Source organism: Homo sapiens, chromosome 18 (assembly GCF_000001405.40).
Source record: "Homo sapiens chromosome 18, GRCh38.p14 Primary Assembly".
NCBI lineage: Eukaryota > Metazoa > Chordata > Mammalia > Primates > Hominidae > Homo > Homo sapiens.
Window position 1 is genome coordinate 76191863 of NC_000018.10, and position 16209 is coordinate 76208071.

The window sequence follows — 16209 nt, forward strand, 5'->3', positions numbered from 1 at the left end:
CTTGACATGATTTTAATATTTTAAATTTGTTAAGACATTTTTGTCACCCAACACATGATCTATTCTGAGGATATTATGTGTGTACCTGAAAATAATGCATATTCTGCTGCTGTTGGATGGAATGTTCTGTGTATTCTGTTATGTCCTTTTGGACTATAATATTATTCAATTCTTCAATTTCCTTATTGATTTTCTGTCTTGATAATCTCTCCATTGCTAAAAGTGGGTAGGTATTGAAGTCCCTTATTATTATTGCATTACTATCTATTTTCTCATCAATTTTCCTAATTTTGCTTTTTCTTTAGATGCTTCCACGTTGAGTGCATATATATTTACAATTGTTACATTCTTTCGAAAAATTGACCCCTTTATCATTATACAGTGACCTTCTTTTTATCTTGTAACAGATTTTTGACTTAAAGTCTACTTTGTTTGATAAAGTATAATCATCTATGCTCTCTTTTGTTTCCCATTTGTATGAAATATATTTTTTCATCTCTTCATTTTCAGCCATTATGTGTTTTTAAAATCAGAGTCAGCACCCTGTAGGCAAGCTGTTGTTGGATTCTTTTTCCATTCAGCTACTCTGTGTTTTTTGATTGGATAGTTTAACCAATTTACATTTACAGTAATTATTGAGAAGTGAGGACTTACTATTGCCATTTTATTGCTTGTTTTTTCACTGTTTTGTAGTTCCTGTGTTTCTTTCTTTCTCTCTATCTTATTTTATGACAGGTTGATTTTTTGTAGCGGAATGAGTTGATTCCTTTCTCTTTATCTTTTGTGTATCTACTAAATATTTTGCTTTGTGGTTACCATTAGGCTTACATAAAACATCTTAGAGTTGTAACAGTATATTTTAAGCTAATAACAACTTAATTTAAATCACATACAAAAACTGTAGTTTTTCTCTCTCTCCCACCACATTTGTGCTATTTATGTTACTCTTTATATCTTTTTATATTGTATATTCATTAACAAGTTATTGTGGCTATAGCTTCTTAAATATTTGTGTTTTAACTGTTATACTAAAGTTAAAATTTACATACTACTATGACAGTATTACAGTATTCTAAATTTGGCTATATATTTACCTTTACCAGTGAGTTTTATACTGTCCTATGTTTTCATATTTTCATTAGTGTCCTTTTGTTTCTACTTGAAGCACTTTCTTTGGCATTTCTTGTAAGACACATCTAGAAGTGATGAACTTCAGCTTTTGTTTGTCTAAATATCTCCTTAGCTCTTCTTCATTTCTAAAGGACAGCTTTATGGGTGTAGTATTCTTGGCTGCCAGTTGTTCTATTAATTTTGTAACTTTGAATGTATTATCTTACACCTTCCTGGCCTGCAGAGAAATCCACTGACAGACTTATGGCCACTGCCTCGTATGTAACAACTAGCTCTTTTCTTGCTGCTTTCAAAATTCTCTTTGTCTTTCACTTTTGACAATTTGATTATAGTGTGTTCCAGGGCCATCTTCTCTGCATTGATCTTGTTTGGGGTCCTGGGAGCTTCATAAATCTGGGTATTCATATACCTCCCAATATTTGGGAAGTTTTCAGCCATTATTTGTTTAAATAAGTTTTCTGCTCCTTTCTTTCTCCTTTCCCATTCAGCAACTCCTATAATGGATATTTTTTGCTTATTTGATGGTGTTCCATAGATCTCATATGTTTTATTTATTCTCTTTCATTCTTTTTTCTTTTTGTCCCTCTAGCTGGCCAATTTCAGATGATCTGTCTTTAAGTTCACTGATTCTTTCTTCTGCATGATCAAATCTGCAGTTAAAACTCTATATTGCACTTTTCAGATTTTTCATTGTATATTTCAGCTCCAGAATTTCTCTTTAGGTCTTTCTTATTGTTTATATTTCTTTATTAAACTTCTCAGTTTATTCATGCATTGTTTTTCTGATTTCATTTATTTGTCTGCCTGTATTCTGTTACATATCATTGAACTTCATTAGTTGATTGTTTTGAATTTTTTGTCAGGCAATTTATAGATTTCTATTTCTTTAGGGTTGATTACTGGAGCTTTATTAGTTTACTTTATGGTGTCATGTTGGCCTGACTGTTTATGATCCATGTATTCTTGCACCTATGTCTTTGCATTTGAAGAAACAAACACTGTTCTTGTCTTCACAGACTATTTTTGCCAGGTAAAGACCCTCTCCTGTTAGATCCCCAGGCTGATGGAATTGCCTCTGAAATTGCAGTCAAGTGGGGTTGGAGCTAGGTCTTGTGGCTGTTCCTGGGTCTACATTTTATTTTGTAGTTGGCATGCCTGTTACTGGATTCTCTCTGGTCCCTGAATGGACTGGACTGCTTCCAGGACTTTGATCAGTAGATCTGGCACTGGGACAAGGATCTATTTTCAGACCTACAGTTGGGTCCACAGACAGCAGGCCTGCTACTAAGTGTGCGGATGAGTGTGGATCCTGCTTATCCGTGGGATGATTCAAACCAGGTCACTAGGTGGGCCACTGGATGAGTAGCACTGGCCCCAGGCTGTGACTAAGAGGGACTGGAACTGTGTCACAAGGCCATTTTAGGATCTAAACTCAGTCCAAAGTTGCTGGGCCTGCCTCCATGGGCATGGACATGCAAGTCTTGGCTGGTTGGTCCCTCTGTTAGCAGGACTGCTCCAAGACTGTGGCAAATGGGGAATGGAGCCAAACTAAAGGGCTGTTTCAGAATCCACAGTCAGACAGCCTGTCTCTAGGGGCACAGACAAGTGTGTCTTCTGCCAGGTTATTTGTGGACAGGACTCCTCCAAGACCGTGGCTGAAAGGCCTAGAGCTGATTCATGAACCACTTCAGAGTTTATAACTGGGAATGAGATCAGTGGGCTTATTACCAGAGGCACAGGTAAGTGTGACTCCTCCTGGGTCCCTTGGTGAATGATCCCGGTGGAAGACCAAGGTCAAATGGGGCTCTAGCTGAGTCCACAGGGAAATATGATGTTTCAAAGTCTGCATATTGGACCATGGACAGTGAATTTGCCACATGGGTGCAGAACTGCCTTCTCAAAACAGCCCTCCTTGGTTGTGGACTCCATAGCGATTTCAAAACCTCCAGTCTGGATCTCAAAGCTCACACAAAGACATTTTTGTCCATTTGGGTAGCTGCCAAATCACTGTTTCTGTTGGGGGATATTAACAGAGAACTTTCTGTTCTGCTGTCTTACTGATGTCTCTCTCCACAAAAGAATATTCCTAATATTTAAAGAGTCATTACAAAACAATGAGAAAACTTTGAATACAAAATACAACAGAAAAATGTAAGTTAACAGACAATTATTTCACAGATATGCAAATAAACATATAGTAAACTCATGAAAAAATAAGCCTTACTAAACATCAAAGAGGGAAAATATGCTGAAATCTCACTTTTTATTTAACAACCTGGAGTTATGAGTGACTTTTGTTTATCATTTTTATTTATCTAACCTATTTCTGTATGTTTCAAAGTTTCCATAATGACTATATTATTATTGTTGTCATCAGGGGATGACATCAGTAGCATCACTTTAGGGAAGTGTTTCAAAAGAGGTAACACTTTAGGTACTACAAGATAAACTTATAAAACACTGTAGATCAACATGATGTTTCCTGAATCCCCAGGTTCAAGTGAAAAAAGAAGAAAGAAGTAAGCCACATCTCTATTAGTGCTATCTGAACACAAAGTGCTTCTTGGTGGGTCAATTCCAACATTTCTTTAAAATTGCCAGAATTAAAGTCACAAGAGATTCTGTAACTGTAGACAGATTTTTTTTTTTTTACCTGTACTTTCAGTATTGTAAGGACAATAATTTCCCACTGTCTTTCCTCAAAGAGTTTAACTTAAAATTTCCTATGGCCACCAAGATCACAGTCAAGGTTACAAAATCCAAGTATTCTGGGCTGAACACTCTTACAAGCATCCTATTTCTTCCTGGAACTTTGCCATAAGCAGAGGCCAAGGCTCAAGCAGGATTTCCTGCCTTCACCCAAAATTTCCAAGCTCTTTTGAGTTGAATTCCTATGCTGCAGCTTTTTACTTAAAAATAGTTTGAGACAACTGAATGAATTCTAAAACCTACTTGTAGGGGGAAAATGAGAGTGGGAGAGAAAAGGAAGACGAAATGGAGAGAAAGAGGAGAAAAAAAGAAGAGAGAGAGATCCTTTAGCCAATGGATTCAACCCAACTTCTTTATCCACCCACCCACTCCAGAGTAAACTCATTGCTATCTTTTTCAGAGGGAAATTTCCATGTGCCAATGTCAAAGCTTTGAGAACTCAACCTCTGGACAATAATTGTGTCTTAAAGCAGATAACTTGGCAAATCTATGAGACTCTTCTAATCCCACAAAAGTTACAATAGCTAGTGCATTTTTTCAGGTCTGTGACTGAGTAGACACATATTTATTTCCCAAAACATTCAGCCTAGTGAGCTTAAGGAAGTTTTCATGTTTAAGACAGTGCTCTACCAAGAATCAAATACTCCTTAATTCAAATCCCTGGAAGTGTAGAAATGTGTACAGTGTTCTGTTTACAGTCCTTAAATATAACCTAATTAATTTGTGACCAGTAGTTCCTATCTGCATCCTTATCAAAATCAAAAAGTATTATAAATTTTTTATTCTCCCTAGGTTTTGAAATCATTTAGAAAGAAGGAAAAAAGATGAAAGAAATGAGTAAAGGAATATAGAAAGAAAAAAAAGAAAAAGGAGATAATGAGAGATAGACAGAAATACTCCCCAAATTGAGGGAGGAGAGCTTCCCTACACAATCCCTTCTATAGCAAGTGCTTGCTTATCCTACCGTGTAATTTGATGATATGCTCTTCTGTCCTTTGATATTCCATAAGATCTTGAGACTCAAATATAAAAATAAGGGATGGAACTTCTCTATTGAATTCAAGACCTTTTCTACAAACATTTATGAACAAAATCTCCAGTTTAGCAAATAAATTACCAGTAATATTTTCTAAGACAATCTCCAAATCTTGCCTTAAGATAAACTCTTATAAGTAATATTATGGGAACAATATATATATAAAGGTTTTTAAAGCTGTTATTATATACTAGTACATTTTCCCCCTTTGTCAATATTAATATTAACAGTATCTTTGAGATATTAGGTCATCTTATTTAGAGGCAATATTTATTAGTATATTTTTGAGAATGTCATTATTCTTCTTCAAGAGCTGAATTTTATGTGATTTAACTTAATCTGAAGTAACTCCAAAAGAATTAATTACCAGTGTTATAATGGGTAGCAGTCACTAAAATGAAATGTTTCTGGAAATTTTGGCTGCAAGCTGAGTCCTAGGAAGTCATACCTAAAAGAGACCTGAATAGCTCCATCGATTTCATGTTAATGATTTGCATATGGGGTTGTTTTAATAAAGCTTATGTAAAAGACAAAACATAATTCTGGCATTGTTAAAAATAATCTACCACATATTTAATTCTATGAAAATTACATTTAACTTTCAGTGCATCTGAATGCTTTGAATTTTTCTGTATTCCAATATGATTCACTTCCTTAATTTAGTAAGTCTGCCACAATGAATCAAATTATTTGTTCCTGATGATTTGTGTTGTTGTATAGTTGATGCTTCTTCTGCTTTGGTTCACCAATCGCAGCCTTGAATCCAGAGCCTTTGTCTTCCTGGTGCTATTTCTGCACTCCCTCATTACTGTCATGGCTTATGTCCACCTAAATGTGAGGTAACCATTTAGAATTCTTAACTACAAGAAATTCAGGGAAAAAAAATATTCTAAAGATCCTTCAGCTTAATATGTTAATACTGAATTGATCTTTTAATACCTGACTACCCACTGTCTACTATTCCATCAGTGTTGACAATCCCTGTTAATAAAGCACTGACAGTTCACCCAGTTCCCTCTTTCCTTGCCTCTCAAATCACATTCATTTTCCTCATTTCTGACCCACTGTCTACATCATGACCAAATTGCTTTTATTTATTTCCTTCTCTCACTATTTTAGGAAGGACACTCTTATTTACTGTTACATCTGAAACTCCCTTTCCCCACCCAGAGACAAGAGAAAGCATAAGTGAAGGGGGTTTCCCCATGACAATCAGCCAGAGACTCTCTTTACCTACTTAGAGGCACCAGGTGGGCCAGCCTGAGGACGCCCCTTCTTCCGCCTCAGGAAGCACTAGCGGGAACTAATCTGAGCCCCAGAAATACAAGATAAACCACACAGACCAAAATGGCACCACAGAGGCTATGAAAATTAAGTTCTCACTGGAACCAGAGCTTAAAAAGTAGGCTAGGCCATACATGCCAAGCCTAAATAAAGTGACTGCATTAAAAAATAAAATATTTTAAAGGGACTCAGAGACTCCTAACATAATAGTCAAAATGTCCAGGATATAATAAAAAATCACCTGCTTATCACACCAAGAAAAAAAAACTATATGTTGAATGTGAAAAGTCAATCTGTTGATGCTAACACCAAGATGAATCAAGATGAAACATCCATCATAAAAAAAATTTCAATAGCAATTACAATATCTCTTAAGAACAACCTCAGCAAAGAAGAAGTCATAAAAAAGAACCAGAGGGAAAATAGAACTGAAAAGCACAACAATAAAATTTTTTACATAGTAGAGTGAAGACAGAAGATAGAATCAGTGAACAAGATTGATCAATAATTTTTAATAAACTTACCCAGGCTGACCAACAGAGAGAAGATAGAGTAAAAAAAAAAAAATGAACAGAAATTCAGGGACTTAGGGCCAATAACAAAATACCCAACATTTTTATCACATCCTCTCAGAAGAGGAAGAGAAAACCTGTGGATCTGAAAGAACATCCAAGGAAATAATGGATAAAAACTTCCTGGATTTGGTGAATACTCTAAACCTACAGATTCAAGAAACTGAATAAAACCCCCATAAGATGACCCCAAATAAATCCATGCCCAGTCACATTATAATTAAATTGCTGAATACTACGGACAAAGCAAAACACATAAAATTAATCAGAAAGAAATGTCACGTGGCCTATAGGTGAGCATTGTGGTTGTGAATGCTAGTTCTTCCAAACTGATGTTTAAACTTCATCTCCAATGCAGCAGTATTGAGAGGTGGGGCTTTTAAGAGGTGATTGGGTAATGAAGACTCTGCCCTCATGAATGGATTAATCCAATGATGGATTAATAAATTAGCATTTTAGTGGATTAATGTGTTGTTATGAGAGTGGGGATGGAGGCGGCTTTATAAGAAGGAGAACTGAGCACACTCAGCCCCCTCGCCACGCGATGCCTCCTGCTGCCTTGGGAATCTGAAGAGACTCCCCGGCAGCAAGAAGGCCCTCACCAAATTTGGCCCCTCAGCCTTGGACTTCTCAGCCTCTGCAACTATAAGAAATACTTTTTTTCCTTTATAACTTACCCAGTTTCAGGAATTCTGTTATAAGAAACAAAAAGAAGGACTAAGGAAGAGAACAGGAGTTCAAATTACAACAGATTTCCCAGTGAAATCATGGAGGCCAAAGGGAAGTGGCATAACACTTTTCAAGGCTAAAAGAGAAATGTCAACATGTAAAGCTATCCTTCAAGGGGAAGTATAAACATTCTCATAGCTACCTGGGAGACAGATACAGGAAGATCACTTGAGCCTAGGAGTTCACAGCCAGCCTGGGGAACACAGTGAAATCCCATCTCAATAATAATAATAATAATAATAATAATAATAAAGAAAAAGGGGGAAGGAAATTCTGACTGTCAGATACTGTCTTCAGACACGAATAAAGTTAATCTTTCAAACAGAAAGAAAATGTTAAAAAGAAGGAATTTTGAGGTATCAGACAGAAAGAACAATGTAAAAAGCAAAAGTATGGGAGCATGTAACAGACTATCCTTTTTCTCATGAGTTTTCTAAATAATATGTGATGGGTTAAACAAAGATTATAACACAATCTGACACTCAAAAAATGATATTTAAATGTGGAGAAGGTAAAGAGACATAAATAAAAATAAAGTTTCCTCATCTCATACAAAGTAGTAAAATGTTAATACCAGTAGACTGTGATGTCACACATATATATTCTAACATTCAGAGCAATATCAAGAAAACTATACAAAGAGATATACTCAAAGATACTATAAATAAATCAAGATTGAATTCTATAAGGTATTTAAGTAATGCACAGGAAGGCAAGAAAATAGGACTGATGGACAAAAAAGGAAACAAACAGAATATAAAATACAAAATGGTAGATCTAAATTTTATTATATCAATAATTACTCTAAATGTAAATGTTCTAAATGTAACAAGCAAAAGGCAGAGATTGACACAGTGGATAAAAAACATAGGACCCAAATATATGTTACTTAAAAGAAATTCATTTACAATTCAAATGCATAGATTAAAAGGATAGAAAAAGATAAATCATGCAAACATTTATCCAGGAAAAGTAGGAATCATTATATTAATGTCAGATAAAGTAAACTTCAGAGAAGAGAAAATTACTAGAGACAAAGAGGGAATTTACAAAATGATAAAAGGATAAATCTACCAAAAAGATATAATAATCCTAAATGTGTATGCACCAAACAACAGAGCCTCAAAATATATGAAGCAGAACCTGATATAACTGAAAGGAAAAATAGACAAATCCACAATTTAGTTGCGGACTTCAACACCACATTCTATGCAAATGATAGAACTACTAGACAGAAAATCAGCGTGGATATAAATCTAAGTGATACAATCAACCAGCAGGACACATATAGAAGACTCCAGCCAACAACAGCAGAATAATACATGGTATCTGTATGCTTTGTTTTGTTTTCTTTTGTTTTGTTTTCAAGCATCCATGGAACAGTTACCAAGAAAATGAAAGAAAATATATATATCCTAATATGCTAGACCATAAAATAAAACGTAACGAATTGAAATCATGGAGTGCATTTTCTTTGCTTTGCTTTGCTTTGCTTTTTTTTTTTTCTTTTGAGACAGAGTCTCGCTGTGTTGCCCAGGCTGGAGTGCAGTGGCATGATCTCAGCTCACTGCAAGCTCCACCTCCCAGGTTCACGCTATTCTCCTGCTTCAGCCTCTCAAGTAGCTGGGACTACAGGCGCCCACCACCACGCCCGGCTAATATTTTGTATTTTTAGTAGAGATGGGGTTTCACCATGTTAGCCAGGATGGTCTCAATCTCCTGACCTTGTGATCTGCCTGCCTCGGCATTTTCTGATCATATAAAATTCCATTCATAATTTTTTTAATACTCTCAGACTTACATCTAACATCATATTTAATGATAAAAAGCTCAATAACATTCTCCTGAGATCAAGAACAAGGCAAGGATGTCCACTCTCACCACTCTAATTCAACACAGAATTGGCAATTCTGATAACTGCAATAAGGCATGAAAAAAATACATAAAAAGCACATCAATTGAAAAGAATGAAGAAAACTAGCCCTATTTACAGATTACATTATTTTCTACATAGGTAATTTCAAAGAATATACAAGAAAACACCTAGAACTGAAAGCTGAGTTCATCAAGTCTACAAGGTACAATTTCAATACCAAAAACAAAATCAATCATATTTTGAAATATTAACAATAAGCATATGAAAATCAGAATTAAAAACCTAGTATCATTTGCAATTAAGCCAAAGAAAATGATATATTTAAGTATAACCTTAAGAAAACACATGTAGGCTCCACATACTAAAAATTTTTAAATACACATGAAAGAAATAGAAGAAGACCTAAGCAAATGGAGCCCTCGTGTTCTACAAGAATCAACATAATAAGATGTCAGCTCTCCTCAGTTTGATCTATAGCTTTAATGCAATTTCTATCAAAATCCCAGCAAGGTTTTGTGTAGACATAGACAAGTCTATTCTAAAATTTACATGAAAAAGTACAGGTTGTAGAATAGCTAAAATAATCTTGGAAAAAAAAATAATGTAGGAGTAATTGCTCTTCCCAGTTTTTTTGGTAAGTTTTCCCAATATTAAGCTTCCTCTACAGCTACAGTAATCAAGGCAGCACAGATTTGGCAGAGGGATAAACAGATCAATGAAAAAGCAAAGAACTCAAATGCACACAAACATACCCAATGATTTTTGACAAAGGTGCAAAAGTAATTCATTGAAAAAAGTATGGCCTTTTTAACAAATTGTGTTAAAACAACTGGACCACCATAGGCAAAAAAATGAATAAGCCTCAATGTAAACTTCATACAATAACTAAACCACCTCCAACAGATCATAGACTCAAAAGTAAAACATAAAACTATAACTCTTTTAGAAAAAAATAGGCAGAAATTTTCAGGATCTAAGGCTAGGCAAAAAGTTATTTGACTTAACACCAAAAGTACAATTCATAAGAGGAAATATTGACAATTCATAAAAGGAAATATTGACAAATCAAAATTTTAAAATTTTTGCTCTGTGAAAGATCTTGTTAAGTGAATAAAGAAAATAACGTACAGGCTTAGAGTAAATATTTGCAAACCACATATCTTTTAAATGTCTAGTATATATAGCATCTCAAAACTCAAAAGTAAGGAAAAACAATGTAAACTGAAAATGGGCAAAAGTCATGAACAGACATTTCACCCCAGAGGATATGCAGATGGCAGATAAGCACATGAAAAGATTTTCAGCCACAGGAGCCATTAGGGAAATGCAAATTGAAACCACCATGAGCAATCTCTGCACCCTATCAGAATGGCTAAAAGATAAAAGAGTGAAAACACCAAGGACACAAAAAAAAAACCCTGATCATTTATACATTGCTGGTGGAAATGTAAAATGTACAGACCCTCTGAAAAACAGTTTGGCAGTTTCCGACAACACTAAACATACAATTACTATGTTGCCCGGCAATTATACTCTTTGACATTTGTCCCTGAGAAATAAAAATTTATTCACGCACAAACCTCTACAGGAATATTCCTAACTCAGATGTCCTTCAGTGAGTGAATGGTTCTGCAAACTGCAGTGCATCCATACCATGAAATACTACTCAGTCATGAGAAAGGAATGAATTATTGATACATGCAACAACTTAGATGAATCTTCAGGAAATTTTGTTGAGAGTGAAAAGCCCACCCAAGAGGTTATAAACAGCGTGATTTCATTTATATAGCATTCTTGAAATGACAAAATTATAGAAATAGAGGGAAGATTAGTAATTGGCAGGAGTTAGGGATGCCAGGGGAGAGGGGCTGCAGTGAAGAAGGTTTGTTTAGAAAAGGGTGACATGAGGGAGTCTTGTGCTGATGGAACTGTTCTGTAGTCAGTCTGTGGTGATAGATATACGAACCTACACATGTGGCAAAATTGCATAGAACTAAACACGCACACACATCACCCAAAAATGAGTACAAGTGAAACTGAGAAATCAGATTAAGGTCTGTGGATTGTGTGAATATCAATATCCTTGCTGTGATATTGTCCTATGGTTTTGCAAGATTTTACCATTGGAAAAATTGCATGATGAGTAAAAAGGATCGCTATGTTATTTCGCAGAGCTGCATGTGCATCTACTGCTTTTGTAAAATAAATAGTTTAATTTGTTAAGAAGATATTGCAAAAGGGAAGAAATAAAGAGAAAATTAAGAAATTGCCAGTAGGATTAGAGAATTAGAGACGGTTCAAGTAATAGAAAGAAGATAATATCGTTAGGTCTTAATTGATTTGGACACGGGGAATAAAAAGGAGAGAGAATTGAGGATGGAGCCCGAGTTTCACGGCCCCAGAAATGGGTGTCTGCAGGTGCCACTAACCAAGAAAGAACAGCCTGAACACGTTGGGTGGGGACTGTGCATTCAGCTGGCAACTGTAGGACAGTGTTTTGAACCCACATTTCTCTATCACTGATGTGTCCCACAGACTCCATGAGTCAGCATAGCCACAGTGGAAGGGGTGGTGCACCACAAGTATTTCACCCCACTCCCTCGCCTCCCATAACCCCTTCTGATCAATCACCCTGTCCTTAATTCTCCTCCCCAATGCTTCTTTAATCTGCCCATGCCCGTGTCTGTTCAATCACATGCACTCCCTCAGTTCACACCATCACCCGTCATGTAGGGTACTTCAAAGATTCCTGGCTATTCTCCTGATCTTCAGAATCAGCCCCTTTCAATCCATTATCCCAATAACAACTAGAGTGATCTTTCTAAAATGTAAATTGAACTGTTATCTCCATTGGCTTTAGGAAAAAATGGAAAATTCTTAGGTCAGCCTATAAAGAAAGTACTAATAGGAAACATTTTTGAAATATGTGAGCCCCCCTGTATCTATTCCCCTTTCTTGAACACCCTAATCTCCTTTTAGGGAATCCCTCCCTGCATTGTGTGCATTTGGGGTAGGACGTTAATCCAGGCACCTGCTCTTTTGCTGTGGAAGCTCAGGCGTCTCCTCCAGGCTCCAGTGGCCAGATTCCGACCCTCACTGCGTGGATACATCAAAGGGGCAGGCACTTGGCTGAGGCAAACTTTGCCAGCCAGACTCTCTCTCTCCTAAAATGTAGAATCTATGGAACAAATGCAAGAAATGAAAACCTAATGGGCATCAACTCATTCACTCCACCCAGAAGCCCCGGGGGCCATTGGGCAATTCCTGCTACAAGACCCTCTGGAGCTTCCTGGTTTTTATCTTTCCTTTTCTTTAGTCTTCCCTTTAATCCTGTGAGCTTCCCCATATACTTCCAGCAAATATGATTTTAGCTAAGTTAGTAAGAAGCAGTTGCTGGTGCTGGTGACCAGAGAGCCCTAACTAATATCATAACCCCTGCCCTGGCCCTTGTAAAGCTCCACTGCCATATTTCATGTTCACTCCCAGCACCACCTTCCCTCAAGTCTGTCTTGCCACTGTGCCAGACAGTTTGCAGCAGTTCTTGAATTTCCTGGATTTTGCAAACACTATGGCTTAACCTTCCAGTCTCAGCTCAGATATCACCCTCTTTGGATAGTCTCACCTGACTAGCCCTCCCACTCCAATCTAACCTGGATTGTATATACTTCTCTTCCTATAACATCCTGTCACCATCGCCATCATGGCCATAGGAGACTGTGTAATTTCTCGCTTCCTTGCCCAAACCCAGCTGCCAAATAGGAAATCCTTGGGGTCAGGGACTGTGTATTTTGCAACATTGTTTTCCAGGGCCTATCCCAGTGCGGACACAGTGCACATTCGGCACATCTTTGTTAAATCCGTGTGTCAAGCAAGGAAGAAGGTGGGACTGTCCTATGGACAACTGGGCTATAGAAATCTGAGTTTCAGAAAAGCGCTCAGAGCCAGAGATGAATATTTAGGTGTCATCAGAGTCGGAAACTTAATAACACTCAAAAAATAGAAACAAAAGAAAGAGGGGGCAGGGAGGGAGCAGGAAAAAGGAGAAGTCTTCCGAGAAGGGCGGAAGGGAGGGAGGGAGGGAGGAAAAGAAGGGGTAATACCATCTAGAACAGCAACATATCAAGGACAGGGATGAGGGGAATGGTCTAAATGCCTGAGAAGAAACATGAGAAGACAAGGCAGGAAGGGAGCAGAGTGCAGAGCTCAGGGAAAGCTGGAGGAAGTCAAGCATGTGTGGCCCTTCAGATGCGCCCCATAGGTAGAGAAGACTGGGTGTTTGCTTGTGAGGAAAGCATTGCCTTGGCAGGTTTGGTTGGTGGAGGTAGAAGGCGAGTTGAGGAGTGACAGTTCACTGTCAAGGACAGGAGAGAAAGAGGACAAAGATCATGGGGCTAACAGGGTTGTGGGGGTTTTCATGGGATGAGAAAACATTGAGGAAACTGAAATGCCGGGAGGAAGGAGCCAATAGAGGATGAGAAACTGAAAACAGAAAGAAAAGTAAAAGGGGATGGTATTATGAATGGAAAAAGATCTGCAAAAAGATGGGAAGAAAATGGATTCATGCACAAATGAAAGGGAGACACTTCGCTGAAAAGAGAGAGTAAGAGGTGAGAGTGGACGTGAACTTGAGGATTGTTGAGGGGCATACGCTTCCAGGCGTCAACGTTTCCTCTGTGTGATCAGTCATTTGTAGAAAGACTGATCTGGGCAACGTGGCAATGCTTCAATAGATTGGCAAGGTGTTAAAGTTTCAGGGTGAGTAATGAAGATATTGTAATCCAAGGAGATTTTTTAAATGTTGCCAGGTATCCCTGAAAGTTGAGCAAAAATGCTGTGCCACCCAGCAGGGCTGGGTCGTTCTCTCCAGCAGACTCCAGAAGCCTGGCGTGCAGGCAGACTCCAGGGCCCGGCGTGCAGGCAGCAGAGTGGACTCCCGAGCCCTCAGGATGAGCCAGCCCAGGGATGGGCGGCAGACTTTCTGACCCCCCTTCTGTGTTTGTAAGGACTTCTGAGCTCTTGGATGTCAGCCAACATCTAGCCAAACCCCCATTTTGCTGTATTTTTGATTCTACACAATCAGTTTCCTACAATGTTTCTAGTCTACTAACAAAGCTTATTCATTGTCCTAGCAGCAGAAAAGATTCCAAAATTCATGTTCTCCATAATTCAGACCAAAGTCAGCACCATGGCAGGTGCGGGTAATTTGGCCAACTCGCTGGCCATGATTCCGCATGTTGTAATCCATCATCATTATGAGCTGCATTCACGTTTCTTTCTTTGGCGTAACGTTTGAAATGCAAAGGGATTGTTAGGACAGAGAGAGATGAACCAATGAGATATCAAGACTCAAATATGTGCTTTGTTAGAAATGAAAATGGAAATATGATTCCAGGGGAAAAAGGACTTTGTTGCAACGTGGTCACACACTCCTTTCAAAACATGAAAAATAAATTCACCCTCAAGAAAAAGAAGAAAAATGAATCTGACAGATTCATTCTCTCCTATCTTGAGGTTTCTCCTCTGAGCCTATGCATCAAGGATCAGTCTGAACAAGCAAGGCCATGCCGTCAGGAAAGATAGCCTGCGCTTGCATTGTTCCGAATGTGTCCTCTCTTGGATAGTCAGTGCTTTTAACTCAAATGTGATTAAGTGGCTTGTCCCAGAAATGAAAAAAAGTCAGCTTCCAGCCTAAACACAAATAGATTATAGACTCTGTTAGTATCACTCTCATTCCCTACGTTCACTACAAATTTGAATTTTCATACCTTTGATTATATTTCTAATGCAGAAGGGAAACAAATATCCCACAGTTGTCCATTAATTACAAATTCTTTCTTGTAGTCTTTTGACGTGTGGCAGAATTATGCATTCTGGACTGCAGTAGAATTATAGAATATGGGCAGAGATTTTCCAGATTATCAGGCCAATGCCCTGAGATTGTAGATGAAGGAAGGGATGTGCACAAGGCCCACAGCTAGGTTTTTCCTACCGGGACAGTTTCCACCACATCACACTGCCCATTAGCTGGAACACAAAGAAATTTAAGCACCTCGATTTAGCTGACATCTGTCTTTGATTGCTTTTATCAGGTAGATTTTTCACGTACCAAAATGTACATATGGATAAACCATGACTAGGACACAGGAGCCACTCAATAAATACTTGTTAAATGCTTCCTGAAATCGGTGCACATGAGAACCCCTTTGATCTCATTGGGAGTCTCAATCACAAATGACTTTCAGACATAAAAGAAATCTTGACAGCGTCGCTAAGGATCATAATACAGTTTGTCAATTTGTTACAGAATTATCCTGACCATTTCCGAACCAAATTTTGGAATACTAAGTCTAACAATGGACTTTTCTGATTTATGAACTAATTGATATAAATATTCATCATTTCATTATACTGTTAGTGAATCGTTTTACTGGAAAATTTTTAAATTACTTGGAGTCAGAACTATCTCAGAATGTACAAAATATCTATAAGGCAAGATCACAAGATCCAATCACAAGTCAGAGTTAAACAACTTGAACTTCACGATGCTCATTTTTGAGTCATACTCATCTCCAAAGGGATATGATTTGGAAAATTGCACAGCACTCAAATTTACCATGTAATGTATAACTCTCCACGCATACACCAGTTCAAAGAGAGAGATCGATGGTATAATATCATTATCTTAAGCCTACTATAATTTGCCATTAATTTCATCTTTCTCTTACATATGGAGAGAAGTAAGGTCCATTCATAATGTCATAGCATGGTTTAATCCCTTCTCATTAAATAGTTTTTAGCCCATGGATCCATTTTTGAGTATTTATCTTGTAATCTGCCAGGCTACACAAAGACTGTGAGGTTTTCCTGATGGA

At 37.5% G+C, this 16209-nt stretch overlaps 1 long non-coding RNA gene across 1 annotated transcript; it reads right to left on the reverse strand.

Moving 5' to 3' along the window:
* On the reverse strand, positions 1-15578 carry LOC105372206 (uncharacterized). The gene is made up of 3 exons (XR_935643.3): positions 15103-15578; positions 12369-12515; positions 1-5704 (listed from the first exon to the last, which is right to left on the reverse strand). It is a non-coding gene; the product is annotated as an uncharacterized LOC105372206 (long non-coding RNA).
* Between the last annotated feature and the right edge of the window lie 631 nt (positions 15579-16209).